General features: G+C 46.2%; 1 protein-coding gene across 3 annotated transcripts in view, besides 2 other annotated features; it reads left to right on the top strand.

Moving 5' to 3' along the window:
- CLSPN (claspin) overlaps positions 1-16408 on the top strand; it is a 49766-nt gene extending 33358 nt beyond the window's left edge. For 2 of the 3 annotated variants that reach the window (NM_001190481.2, NM_022111.4), the window contains one exon: positions 15-4509. In NM_001190481.2, coding sequence (NP_001177410.1) covers positions 15-125 — 111 coding nt within the window. In that variant the 3' untranslated portion in view covers positions 126-4509. Of the gene's footprint in view, positions 1-14; positions 4510-15640 lie in introns of those variants that run through there. The other variant, NM_001330490.2, reaches the window with a different exon arrangement.
- Positions 10680-10863: a silencer, noted in NCBI's record as "fragment chr1:36191359-36191542 (GRCh37/hg19 assembly coordinates)". NCBI's record gives its function as "represses an EF-1alpha promoter that drives an FKBP-Casp9 reporter gene in an ReSE screen in HepG2 liver carcinoma cells {active_cell/tissue: HepG2}" and the evidence as "EXISTENCE:reporter gene assay evidence [ECO:0000049][PMID:32094911]".
- Positions 15619-15913: a silencer, noted in NCBI's record as "tiled region #10959; K562 Repressive non-DNase unmatched - State 15:Elon". NCBI's record gives its function as "represses a minimal TATA promoter and a strong SV40 promoter by Sharpr-MPRA in K562 cells {active_cell/tissue: K562}" and the evidence as "EXISTENCE:reporter gene assay evidence [ECO:0000049][PMID:27701403]".
- Positions 16409-16578: the final 170 nt, after the last annotated feature.

Below are 16578 nucleotides of genomic sequence, written 5' to 3'. Positions count from 1 at the left end.
TCTCTGCTCTCTAGGTAAAGAAAAGGGGTCCATCTTTCATGACTTCTCCTTCACCTAAGCACCTCAAAACAGATGATAGCACTTCAGGATTGACGCGAAGCATCTTCAAATATTTGGAGAGCTAACACCATCAAAGGTGCCAAAATCTACATTGAGACTGCTTTGAGAAGTTTCTAGCACTGAAAGTTGGAATTGACACTCCAGCCAATGATCCTTCCTTCTTTCATAATCAATGCAATAAGATTGCAGACAGAAATTCCAGTGATTTCTACTGCACAGCTCTGGACATCTCTTTTCCTAGTATTATTCCCTGAATTGGCCACTGATTTCAATTCTGCAGTATTTACAACATCAACAACTCATGGAATACTTGGGTGAGGTTTCCTTTTTTTTTTTTTTTTTAAGATGGGAGTCTCACTCTGTTGCCCAGCTTGGAGTGCAGTGGCGTGATCTCGGCTCACCACAATCTCTGCCTCCCAGGTTCAAGCGATTCTCCTCCTTCAGCCTCCCGAGTAGCTGGGATTACAGGCATGTGCCAATACGCCCAGCTAATTTTTGTATTTTTAGTAGAGACGGGGTTTCACCATGTTGGCCAGGCTGGTCTTGAACTCCTGACCTCAAATGATCCATCCACCTCGGCCCCACAAAGTGCTGGTCACATGCATGAGTCACTGCACCTGGCCTTGGGTTAGGTTTCACTTCCTCCATTAGACATTTGACATTTTATTGTAGCAGCTTTCTGGGTTAATATCTCTTTGTGATTGATAGAAGTGGTTGGAAGAGGAAGAGTAGGGAAAAGTGTGACATTACAGATTAAACAGTGAAAATCAGTACCATAATGACTCCTTTACACCCATGAGATACGTACCATGATGACCAGGGCTCGGTGAAAGAAAGATTTCTTTTTTTTTTTTTGAGATAGTCTCACTTTGTTGCCCAGTCTGGAGTGCAGTGGCGCAATCTCGGCTCACGGCAACCTCTGCCTCCCGGGTTCAAGTGATTCTCCTGTCTCAGCCTCCCAAGTAGCTGGGACTACAGGTGCATGCCACCACACCTGGCTAATTTTTGTATTTTTAGTGGAGACAGGGAGTCACCATGTTGGCCAGGCTGGTCTCGATCTCCTGACCTCAAGTGATCCAGCTGCCTCAGCCTCCCAAAGTGCTGAGATTACAGGCGTGAGCCACTGTGCCCAGCCAAAAGAACGATTTCTTAGATGGAGGACCTAGGAACCAACAGATGGGCTGCTGTATTACTCTTACCCCTTTCATTTTCCTGTATGCTTCTTCCCAAGGCAGCATCAAATTTTGAATTAATTTTTGCTGCTTAATAAGGACTTAAACTGGTACCCAAGTCAGAAAGACTCTGCCTCTAATTTTCTGGGGCTTGGGGATGAAGATAAAGTGTTACACCCAGTGTTTGTCCACCACAGTCTGTGGGGCAGAGAGACCCTTCCTGGGACTGAATTCTCAATTTGAAGCACTGTTGTTCAAAGATCTCCCTTCTGGGTCTGACAAGAAGAAACATAACCCTTATTTATTGCATTCTTCTGGCTTACATACATTGCCCTCACTAATCAATGGACATTTCAGCATTTCATTACTAATTTTGAGAGAAGGCCACCATGGAATTTAATAAAAATATTATTGAAGAGAATTGCCATCATTCTCCATTTTCCCTGAACTACCACAAGCTTCTCAGAATTTTAGACAAATGTTTTTCCCCTCAGAACTGAGCATCAGTGCTGCTTTGGAAAAACATTCCATGTGAATACTGTGGTTTCAGTGTCAGGACCTGTACTTGGGCAGTTGGAAGAGAGTGTGCCAGTTTTTTACTGGGAGATGGGAACACCAATTTAATTGATGCAATTAGGTTGTAGGTTTTTTACAGTTTTTCTTTTCTTTTCTTTTTCTTTTTCTTTTCTTTTCTTTTCTTTTTTTTTTTTTGAGACATAGGCTGGCTCTGTCACCTAGGCTGGAATACAATGGCATGATCTCGGCTTACTGCAACCTCCGCCTCCTAGGTTCAAGCAATTCTGCCTCGGCCTCCCAAATAGCAGGGATTACAGGCACCTGCCACCACTCCCAGCTAATTTTTTGTATTTTTATTAGAGATGAGGTTTCGCCATGTTGGCCAGGCTGGTCTTGAACTCCTGACCTGAGGTGATCCACCCGTCTCGGCCTCCCAAAGTGCTGGGATTATAGGCATGAGCCACCGCACCCGGCCGGTTTTCTACAGTTTTCTAATACTCAAGATGTTGACTTTGACAATACTTATGTTTGTATACTTGTAATCTTATAATGGGGAAAATGTGTATAAAGATGTTTTAATATGTATGTAGTTTTTCAATAAATCTTAATGCCTTGAAGGGAAGATTTGCTGTCCAGCTTGAATGCTCATTCTTGGGTCAGTGCCTGTCTAACCTTGAGGAGCATTTCATTTTCAGGTTATCTCCATCCCAGGGAAACCCTCTGGGTCTAAACTGAGAAGCTGCTGCAATTGTCCCCTCACTGGCTTCTCAGTCCTAGTGAATTGATCAAGTTAACTTACCAAGTGGTTTGGGTTCAGCTCAGGTGAAGAGGATAATTGAGTTTACATAAATGGTACCTTCTATTATAGCTCTTTGTTTAAAAAACTTATTTTTTAGAGACAGTCTCATTCTGTTGCCCAGGTTAGAGTGCAGTGGCACAATCATAGCTCACTGTACCCTTGAACTCCTGGGCTTCAGCATCCTCCTTCCTCAACCTTTGGAATAGCTGGGCCACATTACAGGCATATGCCACCATGCCCAGCTAATTATTTTATTTTAGTAGAGACAGGGTCTTGCTGTGTTGCCCCAGCTGATCTTGAACTCCTGGCCTCAAGTAATCCTCCCACCTTGGCCTCCCAAAATGCTGGGGTCACAGGCTCAGCCACCATGCCCAGCCTGTTACAGCTTTGATTGGCCTTTCTCTTTAGCTAAGTTTGTATGTACTTCATTTTATCCATGGGTTCAAGATACATGTTTTTGCCTCTTTCTTTGAACTCTCTAAACAGTTCCCAAGGCAAAGTAGCCCTTGCTGGGCAAAAGAGAACTGAGCAGGAAGGCTAGATATTTCTTCCCTCTTGTTTCCCTACATGTCTTTTGAGGAGAGATAGAAAAGACAATTGGAATTGACAACTGAGGATAAGAAAATTCAGCCAGGTCCGGTGGCTCACGCCAGCACTTTAGGAGACTGAGGTGGGTGCATTGCTTGAACTCAGGAGTTCGAGACCAGCCTGGGAAACATGGTGAAATCCCAACTCTAAAAAAAAAAAAAAAAAGAAAAAAAAAAGAAAATTAGTGCCTGAGAAATCCAGGGAGAAAATGGTTTCTGGGCTGGGCGTGGTGGCTTATGCCTGTAATCTCAGCACTTTGGGAGGCTGAGGCAGCTGGATCACCTAAGGTCAGGAGTTGGAGACCAGACTGACCAACAAGGTGAAACCCCGTCTCTACTAAAAATACAAAAATCAGCCAGGCTTGGTGGTGGCAGGTGCCTGTAGTCCCAGCTACTTGGGAGGCTGAGACAAGAGAATTGCTTGAACCTGGGAGGCAGAGGTTGCAGTGAGCCGAGATCACGCCACTGCTCTCCAGCATGGGCGACAGAGTGAGACTCCCTCTCAAAAAAAAAAAGAAAGAAAGAAAATGGTTTCTGATTGAGGCTCCTGGGAGAAAGCACTCTTTGGAGAAAGAAAACTTGAGTCAAACTCTGGGTTACTTTTCCTTATGCCAGGATGGCTGCTATAAAGTAAGCTAAGCCTTGATCTTGGTAACAGGATTGACATGGACAGTTTCAATCTGACCCATATGCCCTTTGCCCAAAGCACTGAGCCAGCAGCATCAGTTATGTTTTAATGAAATTGAAGCCCCAGGACCTGCCACTATGGCTCTGAGGAGGACTCAGCTTCACTAGCTTGGAAATTACATATTTGGAGGGATGAGAGCCCATGAGTGTGGGAGATAGGGTAGGCTCAGTGTCAGTGTTTTTGTTTCTTCCTTGTTCCATACACTTGAGTAGGGATACATGGTATTAACCTCTTTAAACAGGTCTCTAATTTCATCTCATTAATTCACAGTTGCACAGCCATACTAGGGTCTCTTCCATAAACCATAAGATTTTATTCACCAAAGCTCTAGAGACAAGGTACTCAGATCTCTGTGGCATCCCTCATTTTCTCAACTGCTTCTCTACAAACTTCTCCTCACTTTGAGAGTTTCTAATGCTCAGGCTGGGAGACTTTTTAGGGGGTGTTTTTGGTTTTTATCTCCTAGGGTTATGTCTAATCACTCTTGTGGCATCCTGTCCTGGGATTTGTGCTCCTAAGGATAGAGGAGAGTATTTCTGGGAGGAGTGTTCCCATGATACTATTTGATTATGTCATCCTTGAGATGGTATTGTATCTTCTACCCTTATATCCTACTCATCGCCTGGCACACAGCTTGGAATGTAGTGGTGCCTACCACAGTTTGAATAAATAACACTACACCTTTCAGAGCCTCTGTTTATAAAATGAGGATACTAAGTCATGGCTGTCTCAGAGTTGCTGGGGGGCTTCAGTTGGAAAATGTATGTCAGTGCATTATGTCAAGTGCCACTCTGTAAGCATAAGAAATTGCCAGTAGCTCCCAGAAAAAAGAAATTCACCTCCTTTGAGAATGAAAGAAATTACCAGTATCACAATTATATCATATATTGTAGGCCACTTCTGAAAGGCCCATTGTTTCTCAAATATCTCAAACTTAAAATGAAAATGTGATCTTCTCTAAAAACCTGCTCTTCCTCCTGTATTTGCCATTTCAGTAAAAGGTACCTCCATATATCCAGTCACTCAGACTGGAAATCTGGAGAGCATTCTTGACCTGTTCTTTAATCCTGTAATCAGACAATTTCCAAGTTCTGTTATTTCTACTTCCAAATTGCATCTGGAATCAGCTCATTTCTTCCAGCTCTATGGCCAGCCCCCTGGTCCAAGATTCCACAATTTCTTTCTAGGGTCCTACCGTAGCCTCCTGACCCCCCCACTTCTGTTTTTGCTTCCTTTTCATCCAATCTGCACAGCAGCCAGAGGCGACCTTTATGTAAATATAATTTGGAGGATGACACTTCACTACTTAAAATCTTTTAATGTCTTCCGCTGCACTCAAAGTTCAAACTTCTCATGGCCGATGCATGACATAGCTCTGCCTCCCAACCTGCTGTCTACTCTTCTTTCTCATGACATGCAGCCTCAGGAGCATCTAAAGTGTCCTCTTTCCCTGGAATGCCCTCCCCTACATCCATCCTCCTTCTTTGTCTGACTAATGCATAATTCTCAAGGTGTTAGCTTAAGCCTAATTTCCTCAGAGAAGCCTTCTCTGACCATTAACACCCCTTTCTTTTTTCTTTCTTTCTTTTTTTTTTTTTTGAGACAGAGTCTCGCCCTGTCGCCCAGGCTGGAATGCAGTGGTACGATCTCGGCTCACTGCAACCTCTGCCTCCCGGGTTCAGGCGATTCTCCTGCCCCAGCCTCCCAAGTAGCTGGGATTACAGGCATGCGCCACTACACCCAGCTAATTTTTGTATTTTCAGTAGAGACGGGGTTTCACTATGTTGGTCAGGCTGGTCTCGAACTCTTGACCTCGTGATCCGCCCGCCTTGGCCTCCCACAGTGCTGGGATTACAGGCATGAGCCACCAAGTCCAGCCTAACACCCCTTTCTTAATTAGGTTACCTTTGTATAAGTTTCCTATTCTTTTTTTTTGAGATGGATTCTCGCTCTGTCGCCCCGGCTGGAGTGAGTGCAGTAGCACGATCTCAGCTCACTGCAACCTTTGTCTCCCCCGTTCAAGCAATTCTGCCTCAGCCTCCCAAGGGGCTGGGGTTACAGGCACGCACCACCACACCCGGCTAATTTTTGTATTTTTGATAGAGACGGGGAAGGTGTTAGCTTAAGCCTAACTTCTTCAGAGAAGCCTTCTCTGACCATTACCACTCCTTTCTTAATTAGGTTACCTCTGTTTGAGTTTCTTGTTCTTTTTTTTTTTTTTTTTTTTTTTTAATATGGATTCTTACTCTGTCACCCAGGCTGGAGTGCAGTGACGTGATCTTGGCTCACTGCAACCTCGGCCTCCCGGGCAATCAATTCTCCTGCCTCAGCCTCCCAAGTAGCTGGGGTTACAGGTGTGCACCACCACATCTGGCTAATTTTTGTGTTTTTAGTGCCCAGCTAATTTTTGTATTTTTAGTAGAGACGGGGTTTCACCATGTTGGCCAGGCTGATCTCGAACTCCTGACCTCAAGTGATCCAGCTACCTCAGGCTCCCAAAGTGCTGGGATTATAGGCATGAGCCACCACACCCAGCCTTAGGTTTCCCATTCTTTTGGGTCTGTCATCATGATGTGTTACTTTAATGTTCGTTGAGGCTTGCTTTCCCTACTAGACTGTAAGTGCTGTGAAAACAGAGCATATCCGTTTTGTTGAAAAATGTATGCTTTGGGTAGCACCATGCCTGGCACATAAAATAATTCAATGAATTTTTTGAGCAATGAGTGATGGGAGGCCTGGAAGAGCTAATGGTGAAAAGCATAGAGCTGAATTATATACAGAGGAGCTTTCTAGTGCAGGACAGAATAGAGGTGTAGAGCTTTAGTCCTTGCTCTTTCTGCAGCTTGTAAGCATCATGACTTTGGGTAAGTCAGTCTCTTTTTTCCTCAACTGGAAAATGGGGCTCATGTGAAATGACTTGGTTTAGCTCACAGGGTATGGTTAGGATCAAAGGTACAAATTAATGTGAAGTGAATGTACATATTTAAGAGGCTGCACTAATGCAGGCTAACTCACTGCTGAGGAATGGGTAGAGCTGAGTGGGAAGGAGAAGCCAAGCCCCAACAAAGCTCCATAGTCCACCATTGGTGGCTAGCTATGTGCTGAGACTTGTTATAGCAGTAGAAATGGAGGCCTGTGTGTATGCCTGGACTCCAGTGAACTGGGGAGATAGACGTGGCTTGTGTATGGCTGGTGTCACCTCAGATTTTACCTTTTGAGACCAAGGTGCCTGGTTTCTGTCCCCAGTAGTTTTATTGTCTTGGTCTGTACCATCCACGTCCTTCCCATCCCCTCTTTTTGTCCTCTCTCCTCTCACCTTAAAGGTTTTTCATTTTCAGTTTATTGATTTAGTTCTACCCTGTGGTGGGATTCATAATGGGAAAAGGGAGTTTGAAGTAGCTACAGCCTAAGGGTGATTGGAAGGAGTTGGGGTGGACACCTGAGTTCCTTCCCTTCATTTTAGAGAGAACCGTAGTCCGCGGAATTCTTGATGGCTGGTGGGCTAGATGTAGGGTTGAAGAGGCAGCTCCCAGCTCCAGGCTGGAGAATTATTGCCTAGTCCAAGGGGTAGAAAGTGCTGAGGCAGGGTTGGGAGTGAGCCGTGGTTTGGGTTTTTTGGCCCTCATCTCTTTTTCTCAGAGGCTGAAGGAAGGAAAAAGGCTGACTGCCCACCCTTCTGTTTGTTTGTCTTGTCTAATTTAACTTACGTTATTTATCAAAAAGACAGGTTATTTGGAAAACCAGATGGACCTAGGCAAAAATCATCTGGGTTTTCCAAACGTGAAAAATTAGGTTCTGGGGGCCCAGCAGGAAAGGCGTGTGTGTGTGTGTGTGTGTGTGTGTGTGTGTGTGTGTGTGTGTGTGTGTGTGTGTGTGTTTGAGGGGAGGGTGAGGTTGAGTGAATGTCTCTGTAGTTAGACCCAGAAATTGTTCCATGACTTCCAAGCATACTCCCTCCTTCATTTTCCTTCAAGTTCTTTATGATTAGAATCTAAATGAGAAAATTAAAATCTTCATGTTGGTTGCTGGATGTCTTAATTGACCAAGGATTAGAACCCATCAGGGCTATAGAAGAACAGCAGCTGACAGTTTTCTCTATCTTTCCAGCCCTCAGTCCCTTACACAGAGTGGGCAGGTTAGTGAGAGGTGCAGGGTACTGAGAGTTTTCTGAAACAGAAACCTGTGCTTCTTGTCCCTTCAATGTTATTGTTCCAAAGAGTTGCAGCAAATATGGAGGTTAGACATTAGGGAAGAACTTATCATCAACTTTCTGATGATCAAATGGCTAAAAGAACACTGAGGATCCAGGGCTGTCTCTCCATTGACTATCCAGGGAAGGAGCTAGCCCAGTTTTCTTTTGGGCAATGGTGGCTTGCTCTGTAGCTACAACCAGGAATTTGTAAAACTTGTGGTTTTGGGCCAGGCATGGTGGCACATGCCTGTAATCCCAGCACTTTGGGAGGTTGAGGTGGGGGGTTTGCTTGAACTCAGGGGTTTGAGACCAGCCTGGGCAAAATGGCGAAACCCCATCTCTACAAAAAATACAAAAATTAGCTGTGCATGGTGGCATGCACCTGTGGTTCCAACTACTTGGGAGGCTGAGGTAGGAAATCACTTGAGCCTGGAGGTTGTGGCTGCAATGAGCCAAAACTGCAGCATTGCATTCCAGTCTGGGTGACAGAGTGAGACTGCCTCAAAAGAAAAAAAAAAAAAAAAAAAAAGCTTGTGGTTTTGTTACCTTGAGCAGCAACATTTTTAGGAAGGAATTAAAGCAGGAGGCTATTGAGGCATAGCTCTTGGCTGCCATAGAGGAAATGTTCTGGCTGAAAGCAGAAAGCAAGCCATCCAGTTCATACACATATGCACACACACAGAAGACAGCCAAGACCCTTTCTGGCCTGAGAAATCTTTGGCGGCAGCAATAGCACTTGTCCCATTGTGAGTGGCATTTTTTTCAAAGTGTCATTGGACTGTGAAAGCTACTTAATAACTTGATCTCATCTGAATAATCTGAGTTAATACTAGCTTCACAGTTGTGAGGATTAAATAAAAAAAAATTGTAAAGTGTCTGCCTCAAGGCCTGGCACAGAGTAAATCTCAACAAATGCTCGTTGAATGAATGAATCCATGAATCTGAGCATTAAGGCCCCCCTCACCGTTTCCAAGGATCAGTGCATAACAGCCCCGGTAACTGAGACTTGTAGACTGTCCCAACTGAGCCTGCAGCCTGAGGCATGATCTAAACCTGCTGTTCCTTTGACAAATATTTGATGAGTTATGGTGTGGAGGGTGGACCCTTCCATGAAGGCCTTGTTGGCCTAGCTGTTGGAAGCACTATGCAGACAGTCTTCCAGGGTGGGAATTGCCTCAGAGAGCACCTTGCCCAAGGTCAAGGATAGCCCACATTCAATGGCAACAGGTGTGTAACGGCCTGGCCTTCTTAGCTTATTTTGGGTCAACTCTGAAGGGCCATTCTAGCTTCAGAGCTCCCTGTGGGGTTGGCTGAGGCTGTCACTGGCTTGTCTTGTAGATCAGCCTCTTCCTCTGGCCACTCCTGCTCATTCTCATTCTTCCACAGCTGTTGATCCCAAAGGAGGTTCTTAATAAACATCCAGCACATTAAACAGTCTCAGAGTTGGCTTCCTGGGAAATCCAAGCTATGAATGCACTAGTCCTGGTGGCCAAGCCTTTAGAACAACAAAGAACGGAGACTCCTTTGCAATGGATTTCCAGCGTTGGAGGTGTGGATACTGTCTCTTTATGCCCACCAGAGGGCAGCAGCATCCTAGCCACCTGCCCTTCTGAGGCTCCAGGAGTGGGCTTGAAGCCTTTTCCCCGGCAACTTCACGCCCCACACCAGTATTGGGCAGGATCACCTCCCTTAGGGTGTTCACCCTCCTGACTAAAACAACAAAACTTTCTTAAACTGTCCAGGCCTTAGTTTTGTTAGTCTCAAGCTCCTGTACCACCATCACTGAAGGCCAATCAGTCTTCCTACTGTGCCCCTTCCCCTGCTCCTCGTCCGGCAAGCTCCGTGCCTGGGATCCCCCACCTCTCACACTTACCACCCACAATAGATTTGTTTTCTGTGTGACAAGGTAATTACAAGCTTGGGGCCAGTAGGCCCAGGGGCCAGTCTGAGGATGGTCACTTCATTCTGGCTCTCCCTGTTCTGCTAACGGTATTGATTTTCAGTTTTATTTATTATGATGATGTGTGTGTGTGATCTGGCCCTGGTGACATGACATATGGAGGCAAGAGGGCGAGAGCAAATTTCCTTTTGTCACAATTTGACTTCTTGAAACCGCACCCCCACCACCACCACCCAGCATTGTTTATTTACAGGTTTTAGCATCTTTGCTTACCTGTCTTCATTCTGTCCCCTCATCCCCAAAGATTTCTAAGAGATTCTTCTGGGAATTGGAGCCAGATGGATGTGACTACAAGAAGGAGGAAAGGGTCTGGGAAGAGGAGTGACAGCAGCAAGCATACTACCTTTTGTTAGCAGCCATTAACTCATCCAGCAAACATTTACTACATTCCCATCACCTGTCAGTTACTTCTAGGCTAAGCTCCCCAACTCCCTGCTGGGGGCCATCCTGGAGACAGGTTTTGCTATGCGCTTTTTTTTTTTTTTTTTTTTTTTGTCTGCATCTGTTTCTATGGGTGTGTGAGGAAAACCTGGCCAGAAAGCTTTGAGAGAGTGAGATTGAGTTTGGGTGCAACCAACTCAAAGAACGATGCTTGCCTGAATTTAAGGCTACTTAAGGCCTCCCGTAATGTAGTCTACTTCCTTACGAGGAAGAGGAAGGGCAAGCTTGAGGCAAAACATTACAAGTGGGAGGGGGCACTCTGAACTGCAATGATTGCCGTGGGAATCAGCTGAGGCTGAGGGCGATTTGTGGGGCCATGTTTCCCCAGCCTGTCTTCTCTGTGCGTGCCAGGAGAATGAATAAATCATTGTTCAGGGGCGGGATGCAGCTGCCGAGCTCCTCCCCTCGGCACATGCCCCAACTCCAGCTCCTCCATTGAGGGCTGCTGGAGCAGAGCGGTTTATACACCCAGCTCCCCAAATCCTATTGAGGCCTCCCCCTCCGCACGAGCCACCGGCTCCAAGCCCATTCAGGCTGGCCCTTTGTGCTGGGGGTTAAGTGGTTACATGTGGGGGGCACCCAGAAAGGAACTGTCAGGCCTTGAAAGGCTGTGCTGATACAGTGCCCTCCTACTGATGAATGGGGTGGGTGGAGGAGAGGTGGGCGGCCGGAGGGTGGGGTGGGGGAGAGGGCATGGGGATTATGGAGCCCACAGAGGCAGCTGCTAGGAAGGGGGTGGAACAGGCACCCCCTTCTCTCTTTCCTCCTTCACTTCAGCTTCTCCGTCTAGCTTACTCCCTCTGTTGTGGGCACTGGATGATCAAGAGCCTTGGGACCTTGGATTTGGCTTTTCTGATGTCCTGGTGACCGCTTGAGTGCACTGGAGAGAAAGAATTTATATTACCTTTCATTCTTCCAGCAGCTCCGAAAAGACCTGTTTCTCCCTTTTCCCTTGGAAGGGGTGGGTGAGAAGGGGAACAGTGTTGGGGACAGGGGGAGGATTCATTTCCTAGGTTCATCTGGTGCAGTGGATTTGCAGCTGTGCCCTGCCGAACTTTTAAAAGCTTCTCTGAAGTTCCCTCGGAGCCCTTAGGTGGAGGGTTTAGGGGAAGACAGATCTCAAACTGGATATATTGGAAAGATTTTGTTGAGGAAAAAGAAATTACTTCAAGGCTCTAAAAATGCTTTAAAACTTCTAATTGAATGTACCGCCTTGTCATTTTACAGCTGGGAAAACAGCCAAAATGGAAGATAGGGGAATGGGCATATTTTACCTAAGGTAAACACATAGTAATTTCTTGATAGACTAAAGAGGCACTTTACCTTTAAGAAGCAGTAGAGAAATGGATGAACAAAACAAGTAGGTCATCAGCTTCCTAGGCCTTCCTTTCCCAAGATGAACCAATTCTGGGGAATAATGTTCGTTCCAATCTGCCTTAATGGCTCTTTGGCATGTCAAAGGTCCTCTGGGGTTGTGCCTGGTCTTGGGAGCCCAAGTGACAATGTTCACCACTATGTTATTGAACAATTTTTAAGGCATATTATTTTATTTAGCCCAAAAAGGTTAAAATGATTTGATTTGCCTAAGTTCCCAAAGCCATGTGGGGAAGTTGACAGATGATGTGACCTCAGGAAGAGAGAAGAAAGCAGGTTAGCAACGTAGTTTGTAATCCAGGATCGTGCTTTGTTCTGATATGGAAACTCTGAGGGCTTCCTCAGTTACTTCCCTGCTGTCCCCAGGATGGAGCCCAAGCTCCTTGGGATGGTGTCAAGAACTTTCACAACTGGGCCAACTTTATCTTCTAGCCTCACCTTACCTCCATTTCCCACCGAGCTCCAGCCACACTGGCCTACGGGGTGTTTCCTGAACTCACTCTGAAAATGCAGTCTCCTATGCCTTCTCTTGCTTTCTCTTGGTGAGCTCTTATTCATCCCTCAAGGCCTGGCTCAAATATCACCTCTGTGCTAGCTGGGTTTAGTGGCTCATGCCTGTAATCCCAGAATGTTGGGAGGCCAAGGTGGGAGGATCACTTAAGGTTGGGAGTTCGAGACCAGCCTGGGTAACATAGCAAGACTCCCATCTCTTAAAATAAAAAAAATCACCTCTGTGAAGCCTTTCCTTACCCTTTTCTGGGCTTACTACTTTTGCCTCCTGGCTCTGTTGCAGGGCCCATTACATTGTTATAGCCCACTCTTCTGTCTATTCCTTTTCTTTGAGACAGGGTCTGGCTCTGTCACCCAGGCTAGAGTGCCGTGGTGTGATCTTGGCTCACTGCAACCTCTGCCTCCCAAGTTCAAGCAGTTCTCGTGCCTCAGCCTCCCAAGTAGCTGGGATTACAGGCGTGTGCCACCATGCCCGGCTAATTTTTGTATTTTTAGTAGAGACGGGGTTTCACCATGTTGATCAGGCTGGTCTCAAACTCCTAGCCTCCAGTGATCTGTCCGCTTCGGCCTCCCAAAGTGCTGGAATTACAGGCATGAGCCAACACACCATGACTTCTGTTTCCCTTTCTAAACAAGGAGCTCCCCAAGACCACGACCAGTTCTGATTCTGCTCTGAATTCCCAACACAGTACCTGGCACAAAGTAAGCACTCTGTAACTGTATGATACATGTAAATGAATGGGTGGGAAGGGACAAGGTCTTTGAAGCTGAAACACCTTGATCTTACCCACCCCTTTCTTCCTGAGAATACTGATATTGAGAAATTATCCACCTATGAATAACCCTTAGGCCTGTCCTATTTCCTGGATGAGAAATTCCTCTCATCTTCTCTGGTCTCCTTGCCTGACACCCCAGGCCCTGGGACCTGGATCTGGCTACTCACTGCTAGCCTCTCTTGGCTCTGACATCTGTTTGCCAAGAGGCTTACCCGCTGTCCATCATTGGGTCTTGATGGCATGGCCTTTTGCAAAGCCCTGTTCAGGCTGATACTGGCCATCTCTGGAGGTTTCTGTGTCCTTGCCACTTAAGTTCCTGGCATATATGTGGGTAGGTGAACCCAGCCACAGATACCCTTTCACTTGGGGGTGAATTATTCTCTGGTGTCCTCACTGGAAAAGCCTCTGGCAAATGAATAACAGGCATCTCTATAGCTGCTTTTTTGTCTTCCTGTGGACATGGACATCCCTGCATTTGGAGCTTTTTTTTCTTCAGGTTTTGAGCTCTGAAAATTATGGAGTGACCAGGACTGCTGTGTGAGCACTGACTGTATTAATTATACAGTGCTAGAATATTCCATACAACACTGCCCTTGATTAACAAAACTGGCTACAGGCTGGGTGTGGTGGTTCACGCCTGTAATCCCAACACTTTGGGAGGCCGAGGTGGGCAGATCACTTGAGGCCAGGAATTTGAGACCAGCCTGGGCAACATAGTGAAACCCTGTCTCTATTAGAAATACAAAAATTAGCCGGTGCAGTGGCACACGCCTGTAGTCTCAGCTACTCAGGAGGCTGAGGCATGAGAATCGCTTGATCCTGGGAGGCGGACGTTGCAATGAATGGAGATTGCACCACTGTACTCCAGCCTGGGCAACAGAGTAAGACTCCGTCTCAGGGAAAAAAAAAAGAAAGAGAGAGACTACAATCTGATTTCCTTTAAATGAATTCACTTGACTTAGCAGGTATTGTATTATTTAGGAATAACTAGCTTTAGGCCAGGTGTGGTGGCTCACGCCTGAAATCCTAGCACTTTGGGAGGCCAAGGCAGGCAGATCACCTGATGTCAGGAGTTTGAGACCAGCCTGGTCAACATGGTGAAATCCTGCCTCTACTAAAAATACAAACATTCACCAGGTGGCGGGCACCTGTAGTCCCAGCTACTCAGGAGGTTGAGGCAGGAGAATTGCTTGAACCCAGGACGTGGAGGTTGTAGTGAGCCAAGACTATGCCACTGCACTCTAGCCTGGGTGACAGAGAGAGACTCCATCTCAAAAAAAAAAAAAAAAAAAGGAATAACTAGCTTTTTAGAACAATGGAATTGATGACTCAGCTATTCCAGGCTGGGGTGCTGCCCTGCAGAGCACGATATAGGCTTTATTTATTTTATTTTAATTTTTTTTTTTTGAGACAGGGTCTTACTCTATCGCCCAGGCTGGAGTGCAGTGGCACGATCTTGGCTCACTGCAATCTCTGCCTCTTGGGTTCAAGCGATTCTCCTGCTTCAGCCTCCTGAATAGCTGGGATTACAGACGCGCACCACCATGCCTGTCTAATTTTTGTATTTTTAGTAGAAACGGGGTTTCATCATGTTGGCCAAGCTTGTCTCGAATTCCCAGCCTCAAGTGATCCGCCTGCCTCGGCCTCCCAAAGTGCTGGGATTACAGGTGTGAGCCACCACACCAGGCCCAATATAGGCTTTAAATCAATGTATATAATGCTTTGTCCTTTGTGGCCAGAATGCATAACAAGAAGAGGTAGCGGTGGTTGTGGCACCTTATATGATTTACCTAAGGACTAAGAGTTTTCTTCCTGTCTCTGAGATTCTGGGTATTGCAGGTCAGAAGGTGATAGCATCGGCCAGGCACAGTGGCTCACACCTGTAATCCCAGCACTTTGGGAGGTCAAGGCGGGCAGATCATTTGAGGTCAGGAATTTGAAATCAGCCTGACCAACATGGTGAAACCCTGTCTCTACTAAAAATACAAAAATTAGCCGGGTGTGGTGGCACGCGCCTGTAACCCCAGCTACTCGGGAGGCTGAGGCAGGAGAATGACTTGAACCTGGGAGGCGGAGGTTGCAGTGAGCTGAGATCGCGCCACTGCACTCCAGCCTGGGTGACAGTGAAACTCTGTCTTGGGAAAAAAACAAAACAAAACATGGTGATAGCATCATGGGAGGAATGTTTCTTCTAACCAAGAAACACAAAGATGATTCCCTGGGATTTCGGCTCCTGGTAGCACTAGAGGAATAGGAGAAGGGGGTGGTCTCAGTGTAGACTGGACTGATCATGGCTACCAAGGAGAAAGGGAGTTACTGTTACCTAATAAGTGTTGAGAGGTGCGTGAATGGAACCCAGAGACCCTGGGGTCACCACCTTGTGCTATTGTAGTAATCAGCATTCTTTCAATTGTCGGTGAAAGAAATTCCACTCAAGTTAGGCTTGGCAAAATAAGGCATACAAAACTATAAGTTTAGATGCAGGAAACAGGGTCTGCAACATTATCAGAACTATCTCTCATCTCTGTTTCTTCCCTGCCTCGTCTTCCTTTAATTTCGTTTCAGAAGATCCCAGAGAAGGACTCTGACTGGCTCACCTGGAGTGGAGCTCCTATCCCTGGATTCTTCAGGCTTTCATTTGACCCACATGGTTAAGCTGGGAGAGACAGAGTCCAAAGAGAGGCGGAGAAGGGCTATTCTGGGCAGAACAAACAATTGATGACTTTATGGCTCTGTGGTCTGGGCAGAACTGCATAACCCTAGATCACCAAAGCTGAGAGCCTTTAGGAGTGAGGATTTGGGCCAGGCATGGTGGCTCACGCCTGTAATCCCAGCACTTTGGGAGGCCGAGGTGGGTGGATCACAAGGTCAGGAGATCAAGACCAACCTGACCAACATGGTGAAACCCCATCTCTACTAAAAATACAAAAATTAGCTGACGTGATGCATGCACCTGTAATCCCAGCTACTCAGGAGGCTGAGGCAGGAGAATCGCTTGAACCCGGGAGGTGGAGGTTGCGGTGAGCCGAGATTGCGCCACTGCACTCCAGCCTAGGCGACAGAGCGAGACTCCATCTCAAAAAAAAAAAAAAAAAAAAAAAAAGTGAGGATTTGGGTCACCCCAGGCTGAAGGCCAGGGGAACCTGAAGTGGATAAGGGAAGGGAGAAGACTTAGGCCACAGGATCTGATGTAGAAATGGGGCTGACGTCTCCACCTGTATTTTCTTAGCTGGAGGAGTGTGCAAAGTTTGAATTACTTCTGCCTTCTCCTTCTTATTTCCTTTTCCCTTTTAAAATAGTCATCATAATCATAAAAATTTCTTTTCCATTTTCCCTGTTTTTGCATATAGGATTTCTTGGTGTGATTTAATTTGCCAATTAGTCTCTAGGTTGCAGAATGGTGACTTGGAATCAAATTGAAACTGGAAGAGGGCACCTCATATATTAGGGTCAGCAATTACTGAACTCTGTTCTCTTTTATTCCAAACAGGGCCCCCAACTTC

The sequence above is a fragment of the Homo sapiens genome, chromosome 1 (genome assembly GCF_000001405.40).
Source record: "Homo sapiens chromosome 1, GRCh38.p14 Primary Assembly".
Classification (NCBI taxonomy): Eukaryota; Metazoa; Chordata; class Mammalia; order Primates; family Hominidae; genus Homo; species Homo sapiens.
The sequence above is the reverse complement of the archived record's forward strand: the minus strand, read 5'-3'. Positions and strand labels throughout refer to the sequence as shown.